This window comes from Homo sapiens, chromosome 8 (genome assembly GCF_000001405.40).
Source record: "Homo sapiens chromosome 8, GRCh38.p14 Primary Assembly".
NCBI classification, from domain to species: domain Eukaryota; kingdom Metazoa; phylum Chordata; class Mammalia; order Primates; family Hominidae; genus Homo; species Homo sapiens.
Window position 1 is genome coordinate 57,526,569 of NC_000008.11, and position 25,577 is coordinate 57,552,145.

Consider the following 25,577-nt stretch of genomic DNA (forward strand, 5'->3'; position numbering starts at 1 on the left):
CGCCTGTAATCCCAGCATTTTGGGAGGCCCAGGCGGGCGGATCACCTGAGGTCAGGAGTTTGAGACCAACCTGGCCAGCATAGTGAAACCCCGTCTCTACTAAAAATATAAAAATTAGGCAGGCGTGGCGGCAGGCGCCTGTAATCCCAGCGACTTGGGAAGCTGAGGCAGCGGAATTGCTTGAACCCGGGAGGCAGAGGTTGCAGTGAGCCAAGATCAGACCATTTCCCATGTATCAGATTTTATGCATTGCTTAGTCCTCACTGTGACCCTGGCAAATGGAAAGAAGAAAGGAATCTATTTCACAGATGCAAAGGCTGAGGCCCAAGAGGAGAGCTGGCTAGCTCAAGGTTGCGTGTTCTCTGTGTGTGCTTTCTGATGCTCAGAATAAGGTGCTGCTGGACCTCTCATTGCTGAGGATATCAGACTCTATGGCCATATGGTAGGTGCATGATTATTGAAACATTTCTCTGCCTTTCACTTTCTCACCTGAATGTACTTCCCTGTCTCTGTTCCCACTCCTGAATTCAGGGGCCCAGCAATGCATGGAGAAGCAGTCTCCAACCTGTTGAATTAGATGATAGAAAAAAAATAAAAGCCTGGCATTGTTCTGAGTCACATGATGAAAAGTCATCACTTTAACCAGGCACCTTTCATATGTAGAGGTGGCACTAAGTTAAATAATCACCAGGCCTGGCACTCCCTAATTAGGAGATATGAACCAAGCATTTCAGTTTCACTGAATCAATCTTTCTTTCTCCTTCTTTCTTTCTTTCTTTCTTTCTTTCTTTCTTTCTTTCTTTCTTTCTTTCTTTCTTTCTTTCTTTCTCTCCTTCCTTCCTTCCTTCCTTTCTTTCTTTCTTTTCTTTCTTTCTTTTCTTTCTTTCTTTCTCTCCTTCCTTCCTTCCTTCCTTCCTTCCTTTCTTTCTTTCTTTTCTTTCTTTCTTTTCTTTCTTTCTTTCTCTCCTTTCTTCCTTCCTTCCTTCCTACCTTCCTTCCTTCCTTCCTTCCTTCCTTCCTTCCTTCCTTCCTTCCTTCCTTCCTTCCTTCCTTCCTCCCTCCCTCTCTCCCTCCTTCCCTCCCTTCCCTTCCCTCCCTTCTTTCTTTCTTTCTTTCTTTCCTTCTTTTTTTTTTCATAGTCTCTGTTACCCAGGCTGGAGTGCAGTGGTGCAATCTCGGCTCACTGCAACCTCTGCCTCCCAGGTTCAAGCAATTTTCCTGCCTCAGCCTCCCAAGTAGCTGGAATTACGGACGTGTGCCACCATGCCCAGCTAATTTTTTGTATTTTTAGTAGAGACGGGGTTTCACCATGTTGGCCAGGCTGGTCTTAAACTCCTGACCTCAGATAATCCACCCGCCTGTTTCTTTATTATGTGAAGGTCATAATAGCTGCTGAATAAACCCTATATGTGCAAAAGTGCCTTTTAAGTGACAAAATATTTCAAAAATCCCAGGTATTGATAATATCACAGCTGGCCACAACCTCCAAACTCATATAGGGAGATATTCAAAAGTGAATTCAACATACTCAAACATGCTAAACAGGAAGCTTCAGGAGTGTAATTTAGATCAGTTCAGCTTTGTCCTACAGTAGGTGTTATGGACTGACTTGTGTCCCCGCAAAAAATCACACACTGAAGCCTTAAATCACAATTTGATTGCATTTAGGAACAGGACCTCTAAGGAGACAATTTAGGTTAAATGGAGTCCTAAGTGTGTGACCTAATCCAACAGGACTGATGTGCTTATAAGAAGAGAGAGACACCAGGGGGACACAAGCACAGGCAAAAGCCATGAGGCAACACAAGGAGAAGATGCCCATCTATAAGCCAAAGAGAGAGGCAAGGGAAACTAACCTGCCAACACCCTAATCTTGGTTCCTTCAGAACTTTGAGGAATAAATTCTGTTGTGCAAACCACCCAGTTTGTGGTATTTTGTTATGAAGCCTGAGCTGACTAATACAATAGGTGTGAAAGGAAAATAAATCTTGGGGACCCCCAAATCACTAAGCTGAAGGGAAAATTTAAACTGGGAACTGCTTAGGTCAAACCTGCCTCCCATTCTATTCAAAGTCATCCCTCTGCTCACTGAAATAAATGCACATCTGATTGCCTCCTTTGGAAAGGTTGATCAGAAACTCAAAAGAATGCAGCCATTTGTCTCCCACTTACCTGTGACCTAGAAGCCCCCTCCCCTACTTCAAGTTGTCCTGCTTTTGCTTCGAGTTGTCCCACCATTTTGGACCAAACCAATGTTCATTTTACGTATGTTGATTGATGTCTCATGTCTCCCTAAAATATATAAAAGCAAGCTGTGCTCTGACAACCTTAGGCACGTGTCATCAAGACCTCCTGAGGTTGTGTCATGGGCATGGGTCCTCAACCTTGGCAAAATAAACTTTCTAAATTAACTGAGACCTGTCTCAAATCTTCGGGGTTCACATAGGCAAGAACAAGAATCTCTCACATATATGACATATATATGCCATATATAAGATTTATATGAGATAGATATATGGCATATGGGGATATATACCTTCTCTCCTTGGTTATTGAGAGAATTATTAACATCTCTAACACCACACTGTAACAATTTTCTGGCCATATCTGGAAAAAGTAGCATGTCAGCCTTAATAGCTTATGTACACCTCTGCTGCTCTGTTTGGCTTGATGGCAGTGCCTCTCCCTGCCCCAGAGAGCCTGAGTCTTTTCCAGACGATCTCTGCAGAGTAGACTGTGCTTTCTGTTGTGGTCTCCTGCTCTGATCTGTTTCCAGATATAAAGAAAGGCACATCATTGTCCGTGGCCCTTGTTTACTTTGGCCTTTTGCATCTCTAGAAGCTGACTCTGAACAGATATTGACTGCACGTGCAGTTAATAAGAAACATCAGGCAAGCGTAATTACTATCCTATTTTGCTATTTTAAGTAAATGTGTTCTCATAAAATATAATCTGAATTGCTACTCAAATAATGTGTGTGTTGTATATTTTTATAAAAAGGTTGGAAATACTTAGAAATCTTTATATATATATTATATTATATTATATAATTATATTATATTGCATATATATAATATATTTATATATTTATATCTGCAATATTATATATAAATATATATTTCTATTTGCAATATTATATAATTATATATAATTATATATATATATATATCTGCAATATAATGTTGAAAATTGTGCACCAAAGTTCACAAATCTTATAGTAGAAGATCTTATGGCCTGAATTACTCAGTTACTTGGTTTGACTTTTCATGTGTCACTATTCACTTGACTATGTGGCCATAAGTGAGGGGAGGACTTGGAAATTTTCTGCTTAGTTTGGTTATTGATGTTGATCAGTATGTGAATCAGAATCTATAAATCTTTGAATCTTGCTTTTTAATTACATATATTTGAGCAGTTTCTCTGTGCTCATTACTGTGCTAGCTTACCCACCTAACCGTGGAACAAAATCATAATACATATTTGCAAATGGTGGAATTTCTTTTTTTTTTCTGAGATGGAGTTTCCTTCTTATTGTCTTGTTGCCCAGGCTGGAGTGCAATGGCGCAATCTCGGCTCGCTGCAACCTCTGCCTCCCGGGTTCAAGTGATTCTCCTGCTTCAGCCTCCTAAGTAGCTAGAATTGCAGGCATGTGCCACCATGCCCAGCTTATTTTTTGTGTTTTTAGTAGAGATGGGGTTTCACCATGTTGGACGGGATGGTCTTGAACTCTTGACCTCAGGTGATCCACCCACCTGGGCCTCCCCAAATGCTTGGATTACAGATGTGAGCCACCTCGCACCTCTTCTTAATGTTGCCTAAGGACATTTGCTAAAATGCCTCAAACTACAACACTGTTAAGTTTTCAGCATCTTCTCCATCTTCTATTTCCCCAACCCCAAACAAATAAATGACACCCACTGTCATTGACCCTCAGGGTTTTGAGAGGTAATGCCCGGTGCTGCTGGATCTGAACAAACTCTAAGTAGAGTGGAGGAAGCAAAGGATTGGAATAGAAATTCAACTTAAGTGGGTCATAGACCTTGTGTTCAGGCATTGGGAGTTGGCAGCAGCCCATGGCCTGGGGCTTAAGGGCCTGGATAAGAACATGAAGCTCTTGAAAGGATTTAAGTAGCAGCCTGCAGAGGCAAATGTGATTTTCAGGCAGTAAAACAGTTGAAAATTCTTTTATTCCTGTCTTGCAGACATTAACTGGCAGCATAAGTATGGTAATATGTGCCATAAATGGGTAAATATGTAAATGCTACAGCCCTCTTTGCATATTCATCTCTGATATGCACCAAAAGGAGCTGTCTGTCATAATCAGCCATGTCAGAACAATAAGGGAGGAAAGCAGATGAATTAAATGAGGTAATGCTGCTAAGGGTGTGTGTTGGGTTTACGTTTTATATAATGTTTTTATTATAACTCAATACAGTCAACTCTAAAATTCTGACAAATGTTAGAGAGACTAACAAAATCAGAATATAGGAATAAAAGTTAGGCGTGCCAAATAATTCAGACCTTCAAATGTTTTATGTTTTACTTACGAAGATCATTATGTCAAAAGTAATTTTATTTTTCCTTTGGTGGGTCTGGAGGCAAAGTAAGAATGATGGTGGTAGTTATTGAGTGAATGTGGGGTGGAGCGGGGGAGGATGGTTGAGTTTCAGTTCTCAGGATAATTGGATCAATTTGCTGCCTGAATTTGCTTATATTGTATTGAACACATACGACTTTTCCTGTTCATTTTTATAACCTTTTTACTGGCAATAGATGTGGTACTGTTGGCAAAATTGTCCTCAGCCTGCTTTGCTGGTCTTTTAAAATTAAGCCACCTAGTCACAGTGCATTCCTGTATAGATGCAATTTGTAGATTCTGGTAAATATTTAAATATTTGTTGTTCTAGCTCCTTTGAGGTAGGTGAGCAGTGATAATTTAGTTCGACTAGAGCCAGCTGCAGCAAAACTAAGACTGATGGAGTTAGTCTTCAAGGCCTTTTCCTCCTCTGTTCTTCATTTCTTTGCTTCTCATCCTCTTTTCCAAGGCTAGCAGTCCCAGGAGACAGAGACCTTTTAGAACATCTCTTGAGCCCAGCAGATTGAGGCAACTGATCTAGTATTGCTTGCTTTGGAGAATTGTGTTATCTGACACTTATGTGACTCATGAAAACCTTAGCAGGAGAAATTAGAGACTCTGCCTAGTAGCTTAGTGTGCTTAGAGATTCACTACATAAAGCAGCTCACAACCTACCTCCCAGTTCAGGCAGAGTTTGAGGGCTAAGACTCAAAACATCTAAATTCCCTCCTAGCTCCACCACTCACTAGCTGGGGCTGGTGCATCAGCCTCTCCCAGCTTACTTAATTATCTGTAAAATCTGCTGAATTATCTTAATTCACCTGGCCCTGCCTCACAGGGTTGCATAAGGGAAGAAAAAAGTGGAAAATGCTGAAAAAAAAGTGTAAAGCATTTTAGAGTGTCATATTAAATGTTTAGGTCTATCTCCAAATATAACAGATTTTTAAGATCCTTCTTGTAAGAATCCTGTAAAAAATGAGTTATATTGTCTCTGGACCCAAGAACGCATTTACTTTCTCTTTCCCAAACCACTAGAAAGAAATCTACAAATCGTATCAAGAGATTATATAAGCAGGTCAGAAGTTAAAGCCAGAATTGAAGTTTTGGTGAAGATGTAACTTTGAAAATTTTTGGTTATGAGTGTGAACGCTATCAATTCTGCCTTCTGCAATCACGTGCAGTGATAGGACAGTATTTCACTCTGGATAGAATTCCATGGCTCCCTAGTGGAAAGAGAGAGATCATTTAAATTACCAGTGGGATAAAGGATGTCTCATGTCTTATCCAGGAGAAATAAGGATGACCGGCCCAATCAGTTAAATAGTATTTGTCTCTACCTACAAATACTATTTGTACTTAAAATACTACCTATAAATAATATTTGTTTCTACATTGAATAGATAGTGACACTGAGTGGGGGAAGTTGGCTATGGAGTTAAAAACACCAAACCAAAATGACCTAAAATTTTACATCATCTGAATTTCAATAGGAAGTGTCGCAGTGTATTTACTAACAAGTCAGATTCTTTTCACTATTTAAATCACTACCTTGTATAAAATTACATGCATAGATAGATATACGTTTTATTATTATTATTTTTTTGGAGACGGAGTCTTGCTCTGTCACCCAGGCTGGAGTACAGTGGCGTGATCTCAGCTCACTGCAAGCTCTGCCTCCTGGGTTCACGCCATTCTCCTGCCTCAGCCTCCCAAGTAGCTGGGACTACAGGTGGCCACCACCACGCCTGGCTAATTTTTTTGTGTGTTTTTTCATAGAGATGGGTTTTCACCGTGTTAGCCAGAATGGTCTCGATCTCCTGACCTTGTGATCCGCCTGCCTCGGCCTCCCAAAGTGCTGGGATTACAGGGGTGAGCCACCACACCTGGCCAGATATACAACTTACATATACAAAAACATCATTTGGTACCTACACTAGTACCATAACCATCACCTTTAACTGGCAAGTCTCTGTGCTCTTTTTGCCTGAGAAAACTTTTAACAATCTATTCAATAAAATAAGGAGACCACAAATAATCCAATCACCTTACTTAATATTTCAGACAATGATATTTGCTGTGTCACTGGTTAAATATCAAGATGATGACTTTTTTTGCATGAATTAAATGAAGTAATGCTATTTCTCTGTCACAGAGATAAAGCTTGTTTAATCTTATTTCAAAGTTGAAGACTTATCCATCTAACACTTTTGTTAATATATAATGCAGTTTGATGAACTACATTCACCAAAAACTCAAGGTTTTTTGGATAATTATACACTTCCAATATTGAAAATCTTCAACCTTGATGCATACAAAAATCCAATATGACAGAGAAAATCCAATATGTTTTCTCTACTTTTTGGGTTTTCAGGATAGCGGGCAGGGAGGGGGTGTTCTGGTCTAGGAGAAAACTGTGCTCAGTCCCGGGAAGGAGGGCAGCCTGATGTACAGCAGAAATGGAAGCTGGCTCAAGGTGGCCAACCAGACCTGGTGCTTAGAGGGCTGAATGCAAAACTGTGCTGGGGAAATAAGCTGGGGCCAGTGATGAATGTCCCTTACAAACCCAGCAGAGGAGTTTGACTCGATCTCCAAGAACATTTGGGAGAGCTCTGGTTTTGGCATCAAACACAACTGAGCACCCACCTCGGCACCCTGTGTTCCACCCAGGAGCCGTCAGATGGCTCAGTGACCTGCCCTGAGGTGCAGTTTCCTCAGGTATAGCCAAGGGCTCGGGGTTCCTGGGGAGGTTTAGCAAGGCAGGGAAGGTTATTATACACAGGCAGCTGGCACGGGGATTACCATTTTAAAAAATCACTCTGGTGGTGCAAATTCAAAGCAGGCTTCAATCTAATCCTGCTCTGAGGACTGGACAAAGTTGTCAAATCAAGAATGTTTTCATTGGGTGGAGATAATATCACTCTGCTATGCTGCAAAGTACCATCATTAGATCACGGCTAGGAATCAAGCAAATCAAGCTCATCCGGGCCCCTCTGGTATTTTGAATTATCCTCAAAATAAGACGTAGCACCTGCACTTGAGAAGCTCAGGGTCTAATAGGGATGATGGAAAAATACATGGATGATTACAACATAAGAGTGTAACAGAGTGAGGAACAGAGGCCCCAGGGAGCAAGGATATCCCAGGGAGCAAGGAGAAGAGCGAGCTCACTCCTCGATGGGAAAATGAAGGAAAATGTTTTGTTTGAGCATTTACCAGGTGGGCACAGGGAACAACAGCATCTGCACGTGCCACACTCGGGTGATGGAGACGATTTGATTTGATCAAGCAGGATGTGCTGGAAGGACCAGAGGCTGAGGCAAAACTGCAGAGCTAGGCTGAGTGAATGAAGGGCTAGGTGAGGTCTGTGAACTGCTGGGCTTGGGTTTGTAGCCAGTGGGGAACCTAAGGAAACCTTTCAGGGGAAGAAGAACTCTGTGATATTGGATGATAATTAACACTGCAGAGGTGGGTGGATTCTATCCTTCTGATCTCCCAGACAACAGTTAGGTTTTTTGTGGTCAAAAATGCTAGGAGAGCCATATAATTATATAACACCTCCAGAAGCACATAAATATAGCTTTTTACAATTTTAAAAACATGTCATAGGAAAAAGCTTTATTGATATTTCTAAATTTTCCTTTCCTCCTCCTCCTGTCCCATCCAAAATAAAGTGTTTGGCTATAAATACAGACACTGTCATATGCTCTTTATTGTTATTTATGTCCTCAAAATTTCATTTTCTTATAGTTAAATACAGGCTCATTTCAGTTCATTTTTATAGCAAACATAGAAGGTTGCAGTGAATCTGTGAATATAAACCATAAACCTAAATTATAATACAGATGTGCAAATAAGACTGCAGGTGATCCTCCAACTAAAGATAGCCAATGGTTTGGAAGAGGCGGCTGTTGTGAAAACAGAACATTTATTTAAAGCCCTCAGAAGCCAGTTTTATTCTCTGCTCATTGTCCATTTGGTTTGGAAGTAGCTTGGCAATGCCATAATTTTCACTTCTTTTGACAAATACTGCCTTTGCTTTGACACTGCCTCCTCACTCCCTCCTCACTTCACATTTTCCAGGCATTTCCTGCCAAGTCACATTTACCATTTTTTTTTTTTCATTTATAATTCTGGCCAGCCATCTCCTGGCTTTCCTTACAGTGAGTCTCTTTAAACACCATAACAGCTCTTCTGAACAACTTTCTCTTTGAACTGCATAAGAGTAACTCGGAGACTGGAGTCCTGGAAACCAAATGATAGGCTGAATATAACTTATGTCCTCAATCAAACTGGCATCTTGGTACCAACTGTTACTGATCTGGCTTGATATGAAATGTATGACATTTGGATCAGTCCTCAAAGTTCCCACCACCTATTTTTTCATCAATATATGTTTAGAAATTTCTACTGAAGACGAAAAATTTAGAAAAACATTGTTTTGTGACTTGCTTGAGCTACATAAAGATTTCCCAGGATCTAAATTGCTTCTGAGTGTTGGTTGCTTTAGGGAGGTGAAGTAATGATAGCCTCAGCATTAAATTAGGAATCTGGAAAAAAAAAAAATGAAGGTGCCCCGATAAGCCTCTAATTTACTATAAAGAGTAGGAACTTGGGACCCAGGAGGACTATCAGTCATTGTCAATGATTGATTTATGATATTACTACTTTAAAAAATGATAAATGCCAGACTACGGATAGAATCTAGTAGGTGCTGAACTGTTCAGGATGTGTTCTAGTTGGAGTGCTTTTGGCTGAAGCTGCATGAGCTTTAGGAAAGCCAGCCCAGGTCAGGGTGTGTGCTCTGAAAGCAGCGGTCCCAGGGAGGCTCAGGGAAAATGCGGGGACTCTGTCGTGCATGGTTCTTGCAGCGCCGCCCTCTGGAGCCAGAGCCCTGGCCCTGCTGGGATAGCTGGGCCTGCCTTGGAGCAGAGAAGTCTGATGGAAAGTTACTGTCCCAGGACCTCCAGCAACAGAGACACCCAGTCCTGGTGGGCCCTCCACACCAATTCCGGAGAAGGAGAAGAGGCTTCTGGCTTATTAAAGACTCTCCTAAGGATCAAATTGGGCATGAAACCAATAATTTTTTTTTTTTTTTTGGAGATAGTCTCATTCTATCCCCCAGGCTAGAATGCAGTGGTGCAATCTCGGCTCACTGCAACCTCCGTCTCCCAGGTTCAAGTGATTCTCCTGCCTCAGCCTCCCGAGTAGCTGGGATTACATGTGCCCACCACGACGGCAGGCTGATTTTTGTATTTTTAGTACAGACAGGGTTTTGCCATGTTGGCCAGGCTGGTCTCGAACTCCTGACCTCGGGTGATCTGCCCGCCTCGGCCTCCCAAAGTGTTGGGATTACAGGTGTGAGCCACTGCGGCTGGCAGAAACCAAAAATTTTAATTCCCAGAATAATTTCCTAGGAAAATACCAATGTGTGTTGAATATGAAGAAATAAAATCCAGTAGCACAAGCCTTACATCATTTTATTTTCACTTGTGGTTGGTATATTGTTATGCAGACTGCTGCAAAATGAATCTTCAGTTGAGGTGAGATTTGGGCCCATGTCCTCTGCCACTTTATCTTGTGGGGGTTGTCCTGTAGATGCTGGCACCAGCTCTCCCAAGTGAAATCTCAGCACTTCTCCTCCCTGCTCTGTTACTTGGGCAACTTCCTTAATCTTTCTTTCCCTTGATTTCTTTATATGTAAAAGAAGAGTAACCAAAGAATCTCCTTTATAGGGATGTATGACAAGCAAGTTAATATATATGAAATACTTATTCCAGGCAGGTTGTGAGCGCTATAGAAAGATTTGCAATTATTGCGAGTATTAATAAATAGTAGTCAATGAAATCTTCCTGGAGGAGAAAGGGCCTATTCAGCGTGGCATGTGTGTTTCCTTGCTAGTTCTATCAGTCTTCCGTGCCTGCTATACCTTCTCTGCATCCCCAGCCCCCTCATTTCTGCTTCCTCCCTGCCAGTTTCAGCCTCAGAGGTAAATCCCCTCAGGGCTGGTAAAGATCCTCTCTGATGTCACAACGCACACACACACACACCACGTCTTAGTCAGCTCAGGCTGCTGTAATAAGATATCACGGACTACGAGTGGCTTAAAAGCAATTTTTTCCTCACAGTTCTGAAGGCTGGGAAAACTAAGATAAAGGTGCCAGTCAATTCAGTTCCTAGGGAGGGCCCTCTTTCAGGTTTGCAGAGCTGTGTCCTCATGTGGCAGAGAGGTCATCTCTGTCATCTCTTCTTATAAGGGCATTAATCCCATGATGGGGGCTCTGTCCTCATCATCTAATCACCTCTCAAATGCTCTGTCTCCAAGCATCCTCACATTGGGGATTAGGGCTTCAACAAATGAATTTGGGGAGACACAAACATTCGCCCCATAGCCTACTCTCTTTCTCTTACACACACAGAACACATTTTTATTCTGCAACTTTCTTTTTCCCTAAACAATATAAACTGATATTTTATTGTTTTAATAGATATAGACCTGTCTCATTCTTTTCAAAGACTATGCAGCCTTCCTTAACATAACCAAAATTTATTTTTTGCCAGTCCCTCACTGATGAGCATTTTGATATTTTCCTTAATTTTTATTTTTAAAATCATACATACAACAACCTTGTATGTATGATTCTACAGAGTAAATCTGTAGAATGAATTTCTGAAAGTGGAAAAATTGCCAAAGAGTAGGGATATTTATAATATTGACATTTATAAATTGTCCTCCAAAAATTACCTTCTATGTTATTTAGAATACTATAAATCCCATACAAATATTGACTCAATCCCAAACAAATATTGATTCATTTAATTCTCAAACCATCATAGGATATACATACTATTATTACTCTCTCCAAACCAAGGCGCAGAACTGGTTAGCTGGCTGTCCAAAGCCAAACAGCTGAAAATTGAAGACAGGAGGTTAAAATTTAAGCCGTTAGGAATGAGGGTCCCTGTTCCTCCCTCTCACACCACACATAGAGTTGCTGATTGAGGCCAAAGGCATCAGTCAGGCTTATCTGTGCCCATCTGTTTATTGGCCATCTACATAATTTTTTCCTGTGATCAATCTTTGCCCATTTTTCTGAGGGTTAGGTTTTCTCACATTTATTTGTAAGAGATCTTTGTTAATAAAATTAGCCTTTGTCATGTGTGATGTAGTTGTTTTTCCTTGTTTTTTTTTTTAACTTTGTTTTCAATTTGTTTTCTCATAAATATTTTAAAATTTTTGTAGTCAAATTTGTCTAACTTTTTTATGGTTTCTAAGTTTCATGGAATGCTTAGAAATTATACTTATTGGTATTATATTTTAAAATATATTTACATCCTCTAAGATGGTTATGACTTTTAACAATATTTACATCTTTGTACCATTTGGAATTTATCTTGCTATGAGGTATAAGTATTTCAACTTTAATTCATTCTAATTGAGTAGACAGTTGATCCATAGTTTACCTGCTTATTTGAAGTTTCAATATTATAATATAAGTTTCCATATGTTCTTGGCCTTCTTTCCAGCCTTGTTTTGGCCCCATACATTATATTTCTGCATCAGTTCTGAATTTCTTTAATTGTATAGCTTTGAATTGTCCCCCTATTATTTATTTGGGCTGATCTACTTTATTACTTTTGTTTTTCAAAATTCTCTGGCTATGCAAGTTTAGTCTTTTGTTTGAGTTTACCTTTTAACAGTGTAACTTGGATCCCATAAAGTTAGTAAACTAAGGAAAATTGACAGATTTGCAAAGTCAGTCAAATTAGCCTTTGAGAGAGAAAGGAAAATGATTGGAAGAAAAGTCCAGTGTGACACTGTAGGATGATGACTTAATGAGAAGTGTGGGGTAAAATTAGGCCACCCAGCTGAGGGAGCATGACATAATAGTTAATGCTACTATGCCCATTGCAGATATTAAATAATTAGAAACATAAAATTTTAGAGCTGGGTGCCACAATAGATATAATCTAATCTAATTTGCTTATTTTACAAATGCAAAAACTGAGGCTTGGAGAGTTTAAGGCATGTGCAAGTTTACAGAGTTAATAAGTAATAAAATCAGGATTAAATACTGATTCTCAGTCCAGATAGAGGAGTCACCTGTGATCTGATCACAGAATCTTGAATATGAGAATAAGAAAAAAATTATTAACTTAGCTGCTGTTAACTGATAGACTGACATATACACTGGAGTTATGTGTAGATCAGGACACCCAGGAATGCTATGCGCTATTGGGAAGATGTGAAGCCAGGCAAGGCAGCAACATTGGTGGGAGAGGCACCGTAACGTGGGGAAGGCACAATAGTGTGGGCAACCATGCCAACACTGGGAGAGAACAGGACCGCTGGCCATCGGCTGGGAATCAGAAGAGTTGTGTGCATTTCCCTTGGAAATCAGACTTGGAAGATCTCAGCAGGAAATGTGTGTTTCCCTCAAGAGTGGATTAACCATTTTCAGTTTAAACTGGGTAAGAAAATAACAAGATATTGATGTGTAGAGTGATGCTTATCTCTGCTTTCAAACGTCACTCAGAAAGAAAATGTTGCAGGTCCTAAGTATGAGTTGTGCTTTTAATATGTAAATTAAATGAGTTCTTTGACAAAAAATAAATAAAATTTATGTATTCTCAAAAATCCAAATTCAGTAAAGAAATGCAATATCCCCAATGATTGTGGCAGATGGATTAAAAAAACAAAATTTCCTAAAATGCGTATTTACCTTACAGTTGGTGCTAGTGTCTTGAAATGATCATTCAGTTCAAAAAAATTAATAAATATTCTTTTATAAACAAATTCTGTATGAAGTTCCCTCTTTAACCTCAGAGTAGACAATAGGATGTTATTCAGAGCATTCACTTTGAGTTTTGGCCAGCTCCTTGTAGTTCTTGTGAAGACTTTACGAAGACAGTTGTGATGCTAATACCCTCCCCAGGGCTCTACTCTAGACCCTTCTGAATATTCCATTTAGCCAATCATACCAGCCATCTCTGATATTCTTTATGCAGTTGAATTGGATGAGTTCCAAAAAAGATTTTAATAAAAGAAAATCATCAACCTTGAAAAAATTCTGCACTGGAAACTACTGCAATCCTGATCTTTTCCATACAGAGGAGTGGCTCTCATTCTTGTTTCCAGAAGTTATGGCGGGATCAGGAGCCCAGTCTTACTTGCTTATTAGTGTGAGCCAAAACATTCCACAGTTGTCACTCAGATGAGCTGGTGCTGTTAGCAGTGGTGAATCTGAGCAGATCTGCACAACTTGATTCTTGCCTCCTTGAAGAAAAGAATTTGTCCAAGGGACATAAGGCAGAGTGAGAGACAGGGGCAGGTTTTAGAGCAGCAGTGAAAGTTTATTAAAAAGTTTTAGAGCAGGAACGAAAGGAAGTAAAGTACACTTGAAAGAGGGCCAAGTGGGTGATTTGAGAGATTCAAGTGCCCTGTTTGACCTTTGAGTTGGGCTTTCATACATTGGCATGCTTCTGGGGTTTTGTATCTCTCCTCCCTCGATTTTTCCTTGGGGTGGGCCATCCACATGAGCAGTGGCCTGCCAGCACTTGGGAGTGGTTGCATGCGTATTATGCATGTGTTGCATGTGTATTATGTTTACCGAAGTTGTGCACATGCTCACTTGAGGCATTTTTCCCTTGCCAGTTGAATGTTCCTAGAGAAAGCTCATAGAGCAGTTAAATTCCACCATTTTGCCTTTTAGTGTGCATGCCTGAGCCCACTTGTCCAACTCCTGAGATCTTATCAGGAAGCTGTTGATTACCACTGGCTCTAGGTGTTTTCTATCTATTGGGAGATGGCCTTTCCCTGGCAGCAGCTGTGACCAATTATTATTTTAGCGAGACAGCTTAACAACCACTTGACCATCAGCTGATGGTATCCTGACGTTCCTAATGAGGGGGATGGGGGCTCTCCTGCCCTGCTCACATCTGCAGAGCTACCCACTATAACAGTGCCATTGCCAGAAAGGCACCATCACACACAGCAACCTGGTTGCTGAAGAACTAGGATTAAAAAAAGGTAATTTTCTTGGGATCAGTTTTTGGCCTGCCTGAATTCTGTTATTATAACTAAATACAATGTCAAAGCATGGTAACTTTCCTCCTCCTCAAACCTGGAAGTGTGGGATGTGTGTGGATAGTGTAGGGTAAGTTTAGCCCAGATACCATGGGAGGAAAAAGGAAGAAGGGATATGGGGAGAACACTAACTTCTTAATGAACATAAGTACATAAAATAATAAAGTCCAGGAAATCCAGGATTGTATATATACAAAATTGAATTTTATATATATATATATAGTGTATTATTATATATGTATGTGTATACACATATACACACTTATATTTGCATATATACATGTACTATAGGCACATGTGTGTATATATAGTCAAACACACATACTGTCACACACATATATATTTGAAAGACTTGGTAATTTTAAAAGTTTTTTACTTGTTACTTTCGTAACATCTTACAGATGTATGGCGGGGGCAAGTTGAGGAAGAAAGGGTACTGTATTTGTGAAAATTGATAAATCATTCTACCATTAGCAACCCTTTTGCAAAATTTTTTTAAAAAATGGTTTCCTAACAGCAGAATAAGTCAGATCTCTAAGACTAAAAGAAGGGAAACTTGGAAAGTGAAGAAGCAGGAAAGGAATCCAGACCAGCAGGGGTTGTTGCACACACCTGGGAATGGGAGGCTTTGGTTAATGCTGACATCTGAGCTGGTTTCATTGCCCTTTTGCCATTGTGAGCCTGACTTGGTTCATGAAAATGAAAACCACAAAACATCCAAACATTAGACTTATTATTACGTCAAACTAAAATAACTTTAGTGTTTTATTTCTTGTTCTTTGTTTTAAATCATTTTCGACCCCATATGGATTTTTCCTAAAATGCAGCTTGTTGACTGTATTGCCAGCATTTCTTCCACAGAAGAGCTGCATTGCTCTCATTAAGCCAGAACAACCATAGGAGTCTGCCATTCCTAGGTGAGTTCATCAGGTGAAACAAGAATCCATGGGAAACGAGTGGTTTGTAGCAGTGTCTTTGGTATGTGAGAGCCTCAGCCTGGTTAATATTTGTTCAGAACTTACACCTTCGTTAAATTAATTCGAGTTGGTATGAATTCAATATGTGGAATTAAAACCAGGTGGAAATTAGAGACACTTGAGTCTCCTCTATAATCCCTTAAACTCTAATTTATTTCCTGAAACAATGTTAAGGGTTTTTCACATGCTTTTCTGATACTAAAGGAAGTTTCAGCTTATTAGGGAAAACATATAGGGGATCTGGAATGTGGCATTGGCCCCATAGACCTGCCTGTGTTGAGAGTCCAGCAGGGCTTTGAAGACCTTCTTGCCTCTTGAGGTGTCACCACTTTCAACATGACAGATGCTGTCCTTAGAGCAGGTGTACTGCCACAAGTTGCTTGGCAAACATTGTTCCCTTGTGGCAAGTTCTTATATATGAGGTAATATTACATACATATATATGTGTGTATATATATGTTTCTTTCTTATGAAATCTCAGAGTAAAATAAAAAAGATTCTTTGGACTTAATTCAGTTAGCATTGTAAAATAATTATATTACAGGATATCATCTCATTTTGGGGTATTTCTATGTAACCTCAGAAAATAAATAAAAATCTGCAGCAAAAATGTGTCATACTAGAAATACAACCTGGGGGAAAATGGCACTTATAGAAAAATGGCACTTATAGAATGCCCACTGAGTTTCAAGGCATTTCTACACACTATCCTATCTATTCTCTACCTGGGCCTGTGAGGTCAGTCTATTATTCCCATTTTTCAGATGAGAAAATTAAGGCTCAGAAGAATAAACTTGCTTGCTCAACTCCACCCTATGGCTCAATGGCAGACCTGTGATTTCAACTCACACCTGACTCATTCCAAAGCCTATATTCTCTGTTTTCTTTAAGCGTATTTCATTATCAAGTATGCAAATTTTGAACATTCACATCTCCAACACACATCTTTTCTTTGATGTGACTAGCATAGATTTGCTCTCACTGAAATGTTACAGAGAAGGGGTGGTTTCTCCTATTAAATTAAAGATCTTTAGTTTCCTGATACCTAGAGAAGTTCAAAGGTTTCTAAGTTCAGAGCCATTACTAATAAGGGCATCTTTGGATTAAATGAGTGAAAGGTTTTCATAGAGAAATCATATTAAAAAGTTCTTTATTTCCCAATGCCTTAGTATATGGGAGTTTAATATTGGAACAGTCTCTCATTAGTCATAGTCTCTGCCCCAGGACCATTACTGGGGTGGGCAAAGGGTAGATGGGGGAGAGGTACAGACCATCAGGAAGAAGCCATAAAGGGTTTTCTGTTTTGTTTTGTCTTGCTATGGAGTGAAGTTTATTTTTATTTTCCTTAGGAAGGGTTCAGTTCTACCCTCAAGTTCAGCACCTTACACTCTGTGAGTCTCACAGAGAAGATACCAGATTAAATAGAAAAATCACCCAATCTTTAGAGATGAAAAGTAGAATAGTGGTTGCCAGAAACTTGGGATGAAGAGGTAATGGAGGGGTAGGGGGTAAGAGGTAGAGAGAGTCAGTTTGGGAAGATGACCAGTTCTGGAGCTGGAGGGTGGAGATGGCTGTACACGATGTGAATGTACTTACTGACTGAACTATGTACTTAAAAATGGTTAAGATGGTAAATTTTATCTCATGTATTTTGCCACAATTAAAAATAAATAAATAAAAATCACATATCCTGATCCCCATTGGCTGCAAACTTTGAATGTACCTGATTCTGAAATCTAAAACCTATCTGTGATCGTGTGAGGCATGTGGCTACTACATCCATCGACTTCCTAAATGGACAAGCTGCAGTGCTCTGTGGAAGAGAACTAGATCTCAGTGATTTTCTGCCAGTTCATTGCTGATCTTTTTCCTCGAACAACTGTGAATATTTCCTGTATTATCTATAATACTCTGAAATTATATCTGGCATTCACAAATATTATCTTTTTTTTTTTTTTTTTGTATTTTGATTCCACGCAGCAGCATGGTATATCAGAAAGGACTCTGGAAGGGGACTGTAGTCTGAACTCCGGGGCTTTCGCACCATTCACCTTGGGCATGACTCACACCTATCCAGGCCTCTGTAGTAACCTGGATCTGCTTATCCTTGAGCACAACCTGAACCTCTCCCACCTGGGGACCTCTCAGAGAGACCATGCCACAGAGTGATTCCAACATAAACTCCGGAGCCAGCCCAACCGGGTCTCAATCTCCGCTCCAGCAGCTATAAGCTGTAGGATCTTGGAGAAATTACATATCATCTCTGTGCTTCATTTTGCTCATCTGTAAATCGGCTAGTAGTAATAGCAGCTGCCTTAGAAGTCTGTTAGGAGCTTTAAATGGGTTAACATTTGTTAATCCTTGGAGAAGTGCCTGGCGCACAGCAAGTGCTCCCTGAATGTTTGTTAATAAATAACTTCCATGTCCCTCCAATGCTTCTCACTCTCCTTTTTCTCTTCTTTCTTCCTCTGTGCTATGTGCCACGTGTTCCTTCTCAGGAATTTTCTTTTGCAATCAATAAATTATTTAAAATCAAAACCCTAAAAGTCATTCGCTAATTTTCCTATTTTATCATTTTCATTGCCCACTTGGTCTACCAGTTCTGACTCCTAATGCAACCTATCTATTTTGTTCTTTCAGCATAGCTTTAGCTCCAGTTCACATCCTCCTCAGGGCTCATCAGTTCATTTCAAAACCTGCTCTGGTCCCCTCCTTCCTCAACCCATCCTCGCAACTGCCACAATAACTACACTTCTTAAATAATAATGTTTACCGTTTTATTTTACTGACATGACATGGTACACCGTGCTATGGACTTTGAATTTTTTTTTAAATGCAATGGAAATTCATGAAATGATTTTAACAAAGAGTGACATGATTTAATGTATGTTTAAAAAATGCACTCTGGGTGCTGTGTGAACAGAATTGTGGGGGCCAAGAAGAAACAGAGGTCATCACAAAACTGTGACCAAATAAAAGATGGAGGCAGTGCAGATGGAGGGAAGAAGACAGCTTAGAAATAGAGCTTGAAAGTCACAAAATAAAGCAGGGACAAAGCAGTACCAATAAATGTTTTATGATTGGTTAAGAACGCATTTGATTAACTTGCAAAATCTTATGCAAACACACTTTGTCATTCCCTGACTGGTTCACAGAAAATGTCAGTTGGAATAGTAAATATTCATATCCATTTATTGTATTCAATATGTACCTTAAGTTACCATAGTTAACTTATTTCTGCATTGTTTTCTCTTTACTTGCAGTGTTTGTGAGGCAAACATGTTCCAAAGAAGGCCAGAAAAAGCCCAGCCAGGTTGAATTCTGTGGAAAATTCACCGAAAAGATACAATGCATTTGAAACAAAACAAAACAAAACCAAAAAACACCTGCAGAAGTCCACTTGAAAAACCTGGGCTTATTCACTCTCTGTGCCTCCCATATTCTAGAAGATGTCTGCACATAGAATGTACAGAAAAATGTCTGTCTTTGCCCATGATGGGAGAGGAAAGGCCATTGTGTCTCTTGTTAGCAGATCAAGATTGGCATTAGAGCTCATCGAGGAGAACTGTGTCTTGACCAGCATCCTTGATCACTGAGGACACTGGTGGTCCTATGTTGGTGAGGTGCCAGCTTTTCACACTCAGTCTTTTTCTAATGCAGTCACTCCAGAGCCATTTCTTAGCCAATGATCTCTGTCCTGTTGTCTCACATAAAGTGAGCAGCCCCATCTCTGTTACATTCAAGTACTTACTATTTGTGTTCAACTCTTTTGATGATAAGAATGGCCATAGTTTTCAAAGGATCTGGGGTTTTCCACCCATGCTTTCCTGCATTTTTTCCCCTTTCATGTCACCATGATCTGCCACCACCCTTGTTCCTACCTGCCCAGGTCATGCCATGTTCCATGAGCATGGAGGTGTGGATTGGTGGCACCTCATGATTTTATTTGTTAATGAATTTTTAACAATTAACATAGAAATGATTTGCCTGTATTCAGTAAATTAATATGAATTGAACATAAGAGTAGAGAATTCACAGTTTTCTAAGCAACGATTTCTGCTTTCAGGAAGTGTGAAGGCTATTTGAAGGGAGCGAACACCACAATAAAGAGTAGTTCATGATGCCACAGGGCAAGTACAAATACTCTTTCCCAAAAGCTCACAGGGAGGTGAGGTCTATGTGGGGATGGAATCCACTCACAGAGGAATTTGAGCAGGATCATGAAGGCATAGAACATGCAGCGATGAGAGCCACAGAGAGGAAATGAATGCAAGATGTAATGGCCATGAAAGATTATGAACCAACCCCATGCAGTTTACTGGGTCAACTGTGCCTATTAAAAGGCATATTTCTTTCATTAGCTATGCACTTTATGATCAGGTTTTATGCCCTGGCCCTATGAAAGGAACTTGAATGTAGAATGTTTCACAGGCAGGGTGGTCATTTTGATTAGAGCACTTGCCTCCTTACCAGCCCTGCTGCTTCCATAAACATTTCATCAGGAATTTTCATCAGTTCACACTCTCTGTGAGGCTCTTTAGACATCCGAGCAATGCTGCCAAGGGGATGTTTGGTCTTTTAAATTGTGATGACAAAATAAACTTTTATGAACCCTCTTGCTCAATAAACACAGCCTGGCATTTTAAATGTCAGCACATCTCAATTTTGTGAGAGGGTCTGCCTGAGAGGATTGACTTGAAACTACACAGCAAAGAGGAGGTGCTAGTCCACATTTGCGTGTTCCATTTGCATGAGCAAAATGGACCTGAAGATGGAGCTGCAGCAAGAGGGGAGGCACATGTCCAATAGCAAGGAAGCCATCAAGAATCCTTTATTCTTGAAGGGGTATGCAACAGACTGGAAAGGATCTCATTTTTCTTTGCTTTAAATGCTTTGGTAAATGTAATATGTTTCTACTTTTGGGGAAAGTTTAGGGGCTTTCATAATCATGTTTGTGTTGACCTTCAACAACAGAGATAAGCTGCTATTCAGCCTTTTGAACCCCGAAAAGAGACCCAGGACTCTTATACATTAAGTAGTTAATGCTGACTTTATTGCTATACCAATACCATGGTGACCATTTCTGATGAAAGATTAGTAGGTAATCTCAAGGTAGTTCTCAACCTCTTCTTTCACAAGCAAAGCAAAACAACAATTGTGATATCCATAGTCAATACATTCCTTGATCTCACCTCAGTAACCAACTCTACCACTCCACCCCCCAAGTAGACACCCTAGTTGTTTTGCCTCTTATTCTCACAAAGTAACCCTTGAATGGTTATCTTAAAGTTAATTTTGCATGTAACAGAAAGTGTAAGATTTGTTCTTTAAATAAAGAGTGAGAGCTGAACTGCACATATCATTTTTTAGGCCCTTCAACTTCTCAGCATGCTTGGTTTAGCCAATGCATGGCATGGCTCAGTTGTTGAGTAAATATTTGTTAGATGAATATGTGAATCAATACCTAAAATAAGAAGCAGGCATATTGCCATACCTTGCTAAATATCTCTACGGTCCTAAGAGAAGAGGATCAGTGTTTAGTTTCTTGATTTCCTTAAATGTTAATTTCTATCTATGAATTGTCACAAAATTACACTTATAAATCACTCACATGGTCATGCATTCCCTTTATCAGGAACAGCACCTGACACACAAATTCTAAGTAAATATTATTGAATGGATGAGTAGGTGGTATAGCTGGGCTGTGCCTGATTCTGTGTGACCTTGTCTAAGATTTGAATATTCTAGGACAAATCACTATTTTTTAGAGGATCCTCTGTGAGGTCTAAATATCATTGTGTGGCAAGGTGTAGAAACAAATTTGAGACCACCATACTCAAACAAAAACAAAAACAAGACAAAACAAAAAACACCAGGATGGGCACTCCTATTCCATAAAGGCAAGCTAGAGGCCACTGGCCAATTATTGTGCTTATTTAAAAATTTTAACATTGATTTTTGTTTAGTTCAAAGTTACTCTGGGTTATCTGAGGATTGATTGTCTCTACTCTGTTGCCCAGTTATTTTACTAAATTCTGTGACCTTAGGTAAAGCCCTGAATACTTTCGGATCTTCGTTTTCTCATCTGTCAATGGACAAAGTTATCCTTCATAAAAGTGGGCACTTAGGGCAGTGTCAGATACTTCACAGTTGAAGAGAAACTATAATAATACTTAATTTTAAGGTTTTTAGAAAAAATTTCATTTTATCAGTCAAGCTTTCAAATCTAACCATTCAATACCTTTCTTTTTCTTTCTGCCTTCAAACTATTTTTAGAATCAGCTGAAAAAAAAAGCCCTGATAATGCAACTTGTTTTCACAGCAGTTCAGTTGAGCAGAATAACGGACCCTGGGGAGGACTAATTCTTGGCTCTCATTGCCTGGGCTTCTGGGTCTGTGATTAGTCATATACAGTGACTTTAATGGGTCGTAAAAGGACCATAAATCTATTGCAGAAATGGCCACATCTGTGTTTTAGAAAAGCGGTGGGGGTTTTTTAGTTATTTTATTTTAAAAACTAACCAAAAATTTAGTCGTTTTTCTATATTTCTTTATTTTAAGTTCTTATTTGCAGGTATTAGGATTAAATGTAGCAGTGTTTTCCATCCTTTGTCTATGTAGTTCAACGTGTATGTGATTTTTCTCCAATAGTTTGTCATTTTGAGTATGCTTGAATAATACTCAGCTCAAAGTCAAGTCACCTGTAAGGTCATGAAGCACACTTGTTGACATATCCATTGTCCCATTAGACAGAGAACATCTCAGGAGCAAGAACACTGTAATATTCATTACTTTAACCTCCATGACTGTCAGAAAGAGCAGGTAACCAATAAATGTTTCTTAATATAAAAATGGAATAGTCATGCGCCACTAAAGACATTTCAGTCAACAATGGACTACATATGAAACCATGTTCCCATAAAATTATAATAGAGCTGAAAAGTTCCTATTGCCTAGCAACATTGTAGCCATCACAATGTAGTAATGCAAAGCATTACCTTTTCTATGTTTAGATACACAAATACTTAACAATTGTATTACAATTGCCTCAGTATTTAGTAAAGTAACATGCTGTACAAGTTTATACCCCAGGAGCCACATAGCCTAGGTTTGTAGTAGGTTATATAGGTTCTGATCATTTAGGTGTATGTAAGCATACTCTATGATGTTCGCACAATAAGGAAATTGTCTAATGATGCATTTCTCAGAATGTATCCTTGTCATTAAGCAACATGTGACTGTAGTAAAATTTGACAGAAAAAATAATGTTTCTGTGGAAGTCTTCATACTAATTTTTGAAGCAGAATAACTAAGAAAATAAGATCAATGTATGTAAAGTTCAGGAAATCAATTTTTAAAGATAGGTTTTGTACTAAGCATTTAAATCATCCACATTAACCTGAGAACTTTGCAGCCTTTTCTGACCCCTTCTTATGGTGACCTTGCTCGCTCACCCATCCAGTCCTGCTATTCATGGTCTCAGCAATGCCTCACCTATTGACCAGTTAGTTACTCCAAAATCGGTTCCATTTGTAGCCACTTACTTATGTCAATAGAAACTAACCAATTAATTTAGAAATGGGAAGGGTTAAAAGAAACACATTTCTACCTCCACCTTCACATGAGTTCCCCATTGGATTAGCCTTCCAGTTTAAACCAGAAAAAAATAGACTTATCTGGGCATCTGTGGCAGTGTTTTCAATGTCTTTGCAAGATCACTTGAAATATACTGATTTTAAGTTAGTATGCTTTCACTGTGCATAATTTGGAGAGCTTAGCAGATAAACGTGGTGAGGAACACAGGACCAACTCTCCTCCAGTGAGAACCTGGATCATGTCAGAAGGACTCTGAGGCAGTATGACCCTTTCTGGTCCTACACCTGGTGTTTTTGCCCAGCTTCTAGCAGATGCCTGTAGAGCTGCGGCCTTGTACCTGGGAGCAGTGCAGCCAACCTGGTAGACGGTAAAAAACTTGTGGCAGCACTGAGAATGTATCCCAGGCATGAAATCTTTGTCACTATAACCAGGTGATAATTTCTACTTGAAGTGATGCAGTTTATACCTCTTTTCCTGGAGTAATTATTTGATAGCATCTTGTTTTTCACTCTCAAAAGTGTTTCGATCTGCTGAATAAATTAGATGATCGCTCAAAATACAGGATTATATTCTCTGTCAGCAGGATATTTTGGGCTATTTCTAGAAAAATTCTAGAAGAAAGAGACTTACCACACCCCCCAGGTATAATCCAAAAATGTATAATTCCCATCTCCTGTGCAGATGGTAAGCTGGGTTATCATCTGCCAATCACAGTTCTTTCCAGAGACTGCTGTTTTAAGGTAAACAATGGGATGAAAGTGACGCCCTGAGGAATCCTTTTGCAGCCAGCGAACTGGCTTTCCAAGGTCAGAGGTGCAAAGTGACATCATGGGATTGTGGCAATTGCAGCAGGCAAAGTTTCCTCACAGGCCGGTTCTGCACTGAGGGATTTAAATATATTCTTTCTAGCTTAGCCTCAAAGATGTTCTCCAGCCTTTCCAACCATTCTGTACACTATTCAATATCTTTTAATAAACTCCTGGGTATTTTGTTTTCCTGCTTAATTAGTCAGCCAATTTCTATTGCTTACAACTAAGGACCTTGACTAAGACATGGGTAAACTTGAAAATTTGAGTTCATAAAATATTTTTAACCCCAGGATCCACATGGAAAAGGAACGTTCTGCTGTTTTGAAGGTTCTGTTCAAGTCTCTTTCAACAAACAATGTCTTATGTGAAAAAGGGCTGCTCATCGTTTTCAAAGTTGACCTTGATTTTTCATGCCATAGATTATTCAAAACTATGGGTTATTCTTTTTAAAATGATGTTAAGGTCAAGTGACAAACTTTCTTCTCAGATGTCACATGGAAAAACTGGTGTTTGGATGTCAACTGTGGCATTTTTAATCCTATGTTTTTCCCACTGGCAGCACTATGTTTTCAGAGAAGCTTTAGCACTCTGCAATGCCCACTGCGACAATCAACCAGATAGCCTCATTTTCGATAATGTAATCTGAAAAGTGTTTAATTAGCTTTCTTCCTGCTGCTGACTCACCCTCACTTGGATACACACATTATAGAACCTAAACAGCAGCAGATCATCAAAGTGAGTTGAAATATGCTATTGTTTTCTTGATAATGGATTCTTTAAAGATCTCAGGTATCATTAAACTGCTAACAGGCTCGGGCCCTTATAGGGTGGTGCAGTATGGCATTTTGGAAGTTTTCTTTTGTGTTCAAATCCAGAATTCCAGGTAGATCCTGGGTACTTAGTAGTTGTCAGTTTAAATGCATATACAAATCTGCATACATTTGGAAAAAACTTCTCAAATGATTATTCCATTTTTTGTTAGGCAGTGACATTTTTCTTTGATCCTTATATGTAAGGGAACTTACCACAATGAATAATAAAATATTTGAAGACCGGTGAAACAGCTCACAGGAACTTGGTTGAAAAGAACAATGGGTTCTTCAGCAGCAGGGGCTGGGCCTCCTTAGAATGTGTAGACGTGATCTGCATTGCTGTGACCCTGAGCTTCACCCTCATAACTGAACGAGACTGTCAGTACCTAGGTTAATCATGTCTTGAGGACATGTATGGCTTCACAAGTGCATACACACAAGTGTACTTGTAGGTGTTGCTAGTTAATGAGTTATGAGTTCTTTTATATGTTTTCTGTGGCATAAGCAAAAACTAACAGAAGAGGAGGAGATTTGCAAAAGTTGGAAAGAAAGGACTGTTCATAATTTCTATGATTGTGATGAACATGTAAAGGTGCTTACTTTTGTCTGCATCTGACACCAGATAGCTTTTATTCCCTGTGCCCAGGCCTTGAGATAAACTGTGGCCAACGTGGGGAGGAATCTTCTATGGGCTCACAGAAAGTTGGCTAATTTTGTTTCCTC

At 39.5% G+C, this 25,577-nt stretch overlaps 1 long non-coding RNA gene across 1 annotated transcript in view; it reads left to right on the forward strand.

Annotated features, from left to right (window-relative positions):
- Positions 1-25,097, forward strand: part of LOC105375855 (uncharacterized) — an 88,963-nt gene extending 63,866 nt beyond the window's left edge. Inside the window, exon 3 of the long non-coding RNA XR_928920.3 lies at positions 18,901-25,097. This is a non-coding gene — a long non-coding RNA (uncharacterized LOC105375855). The remainder of the gene's footprint in view (positions 1-18,900) is intronic.
- The last annotated feature ends 480 nt before the right edge of the window (positions 25,098-25,577 follow it).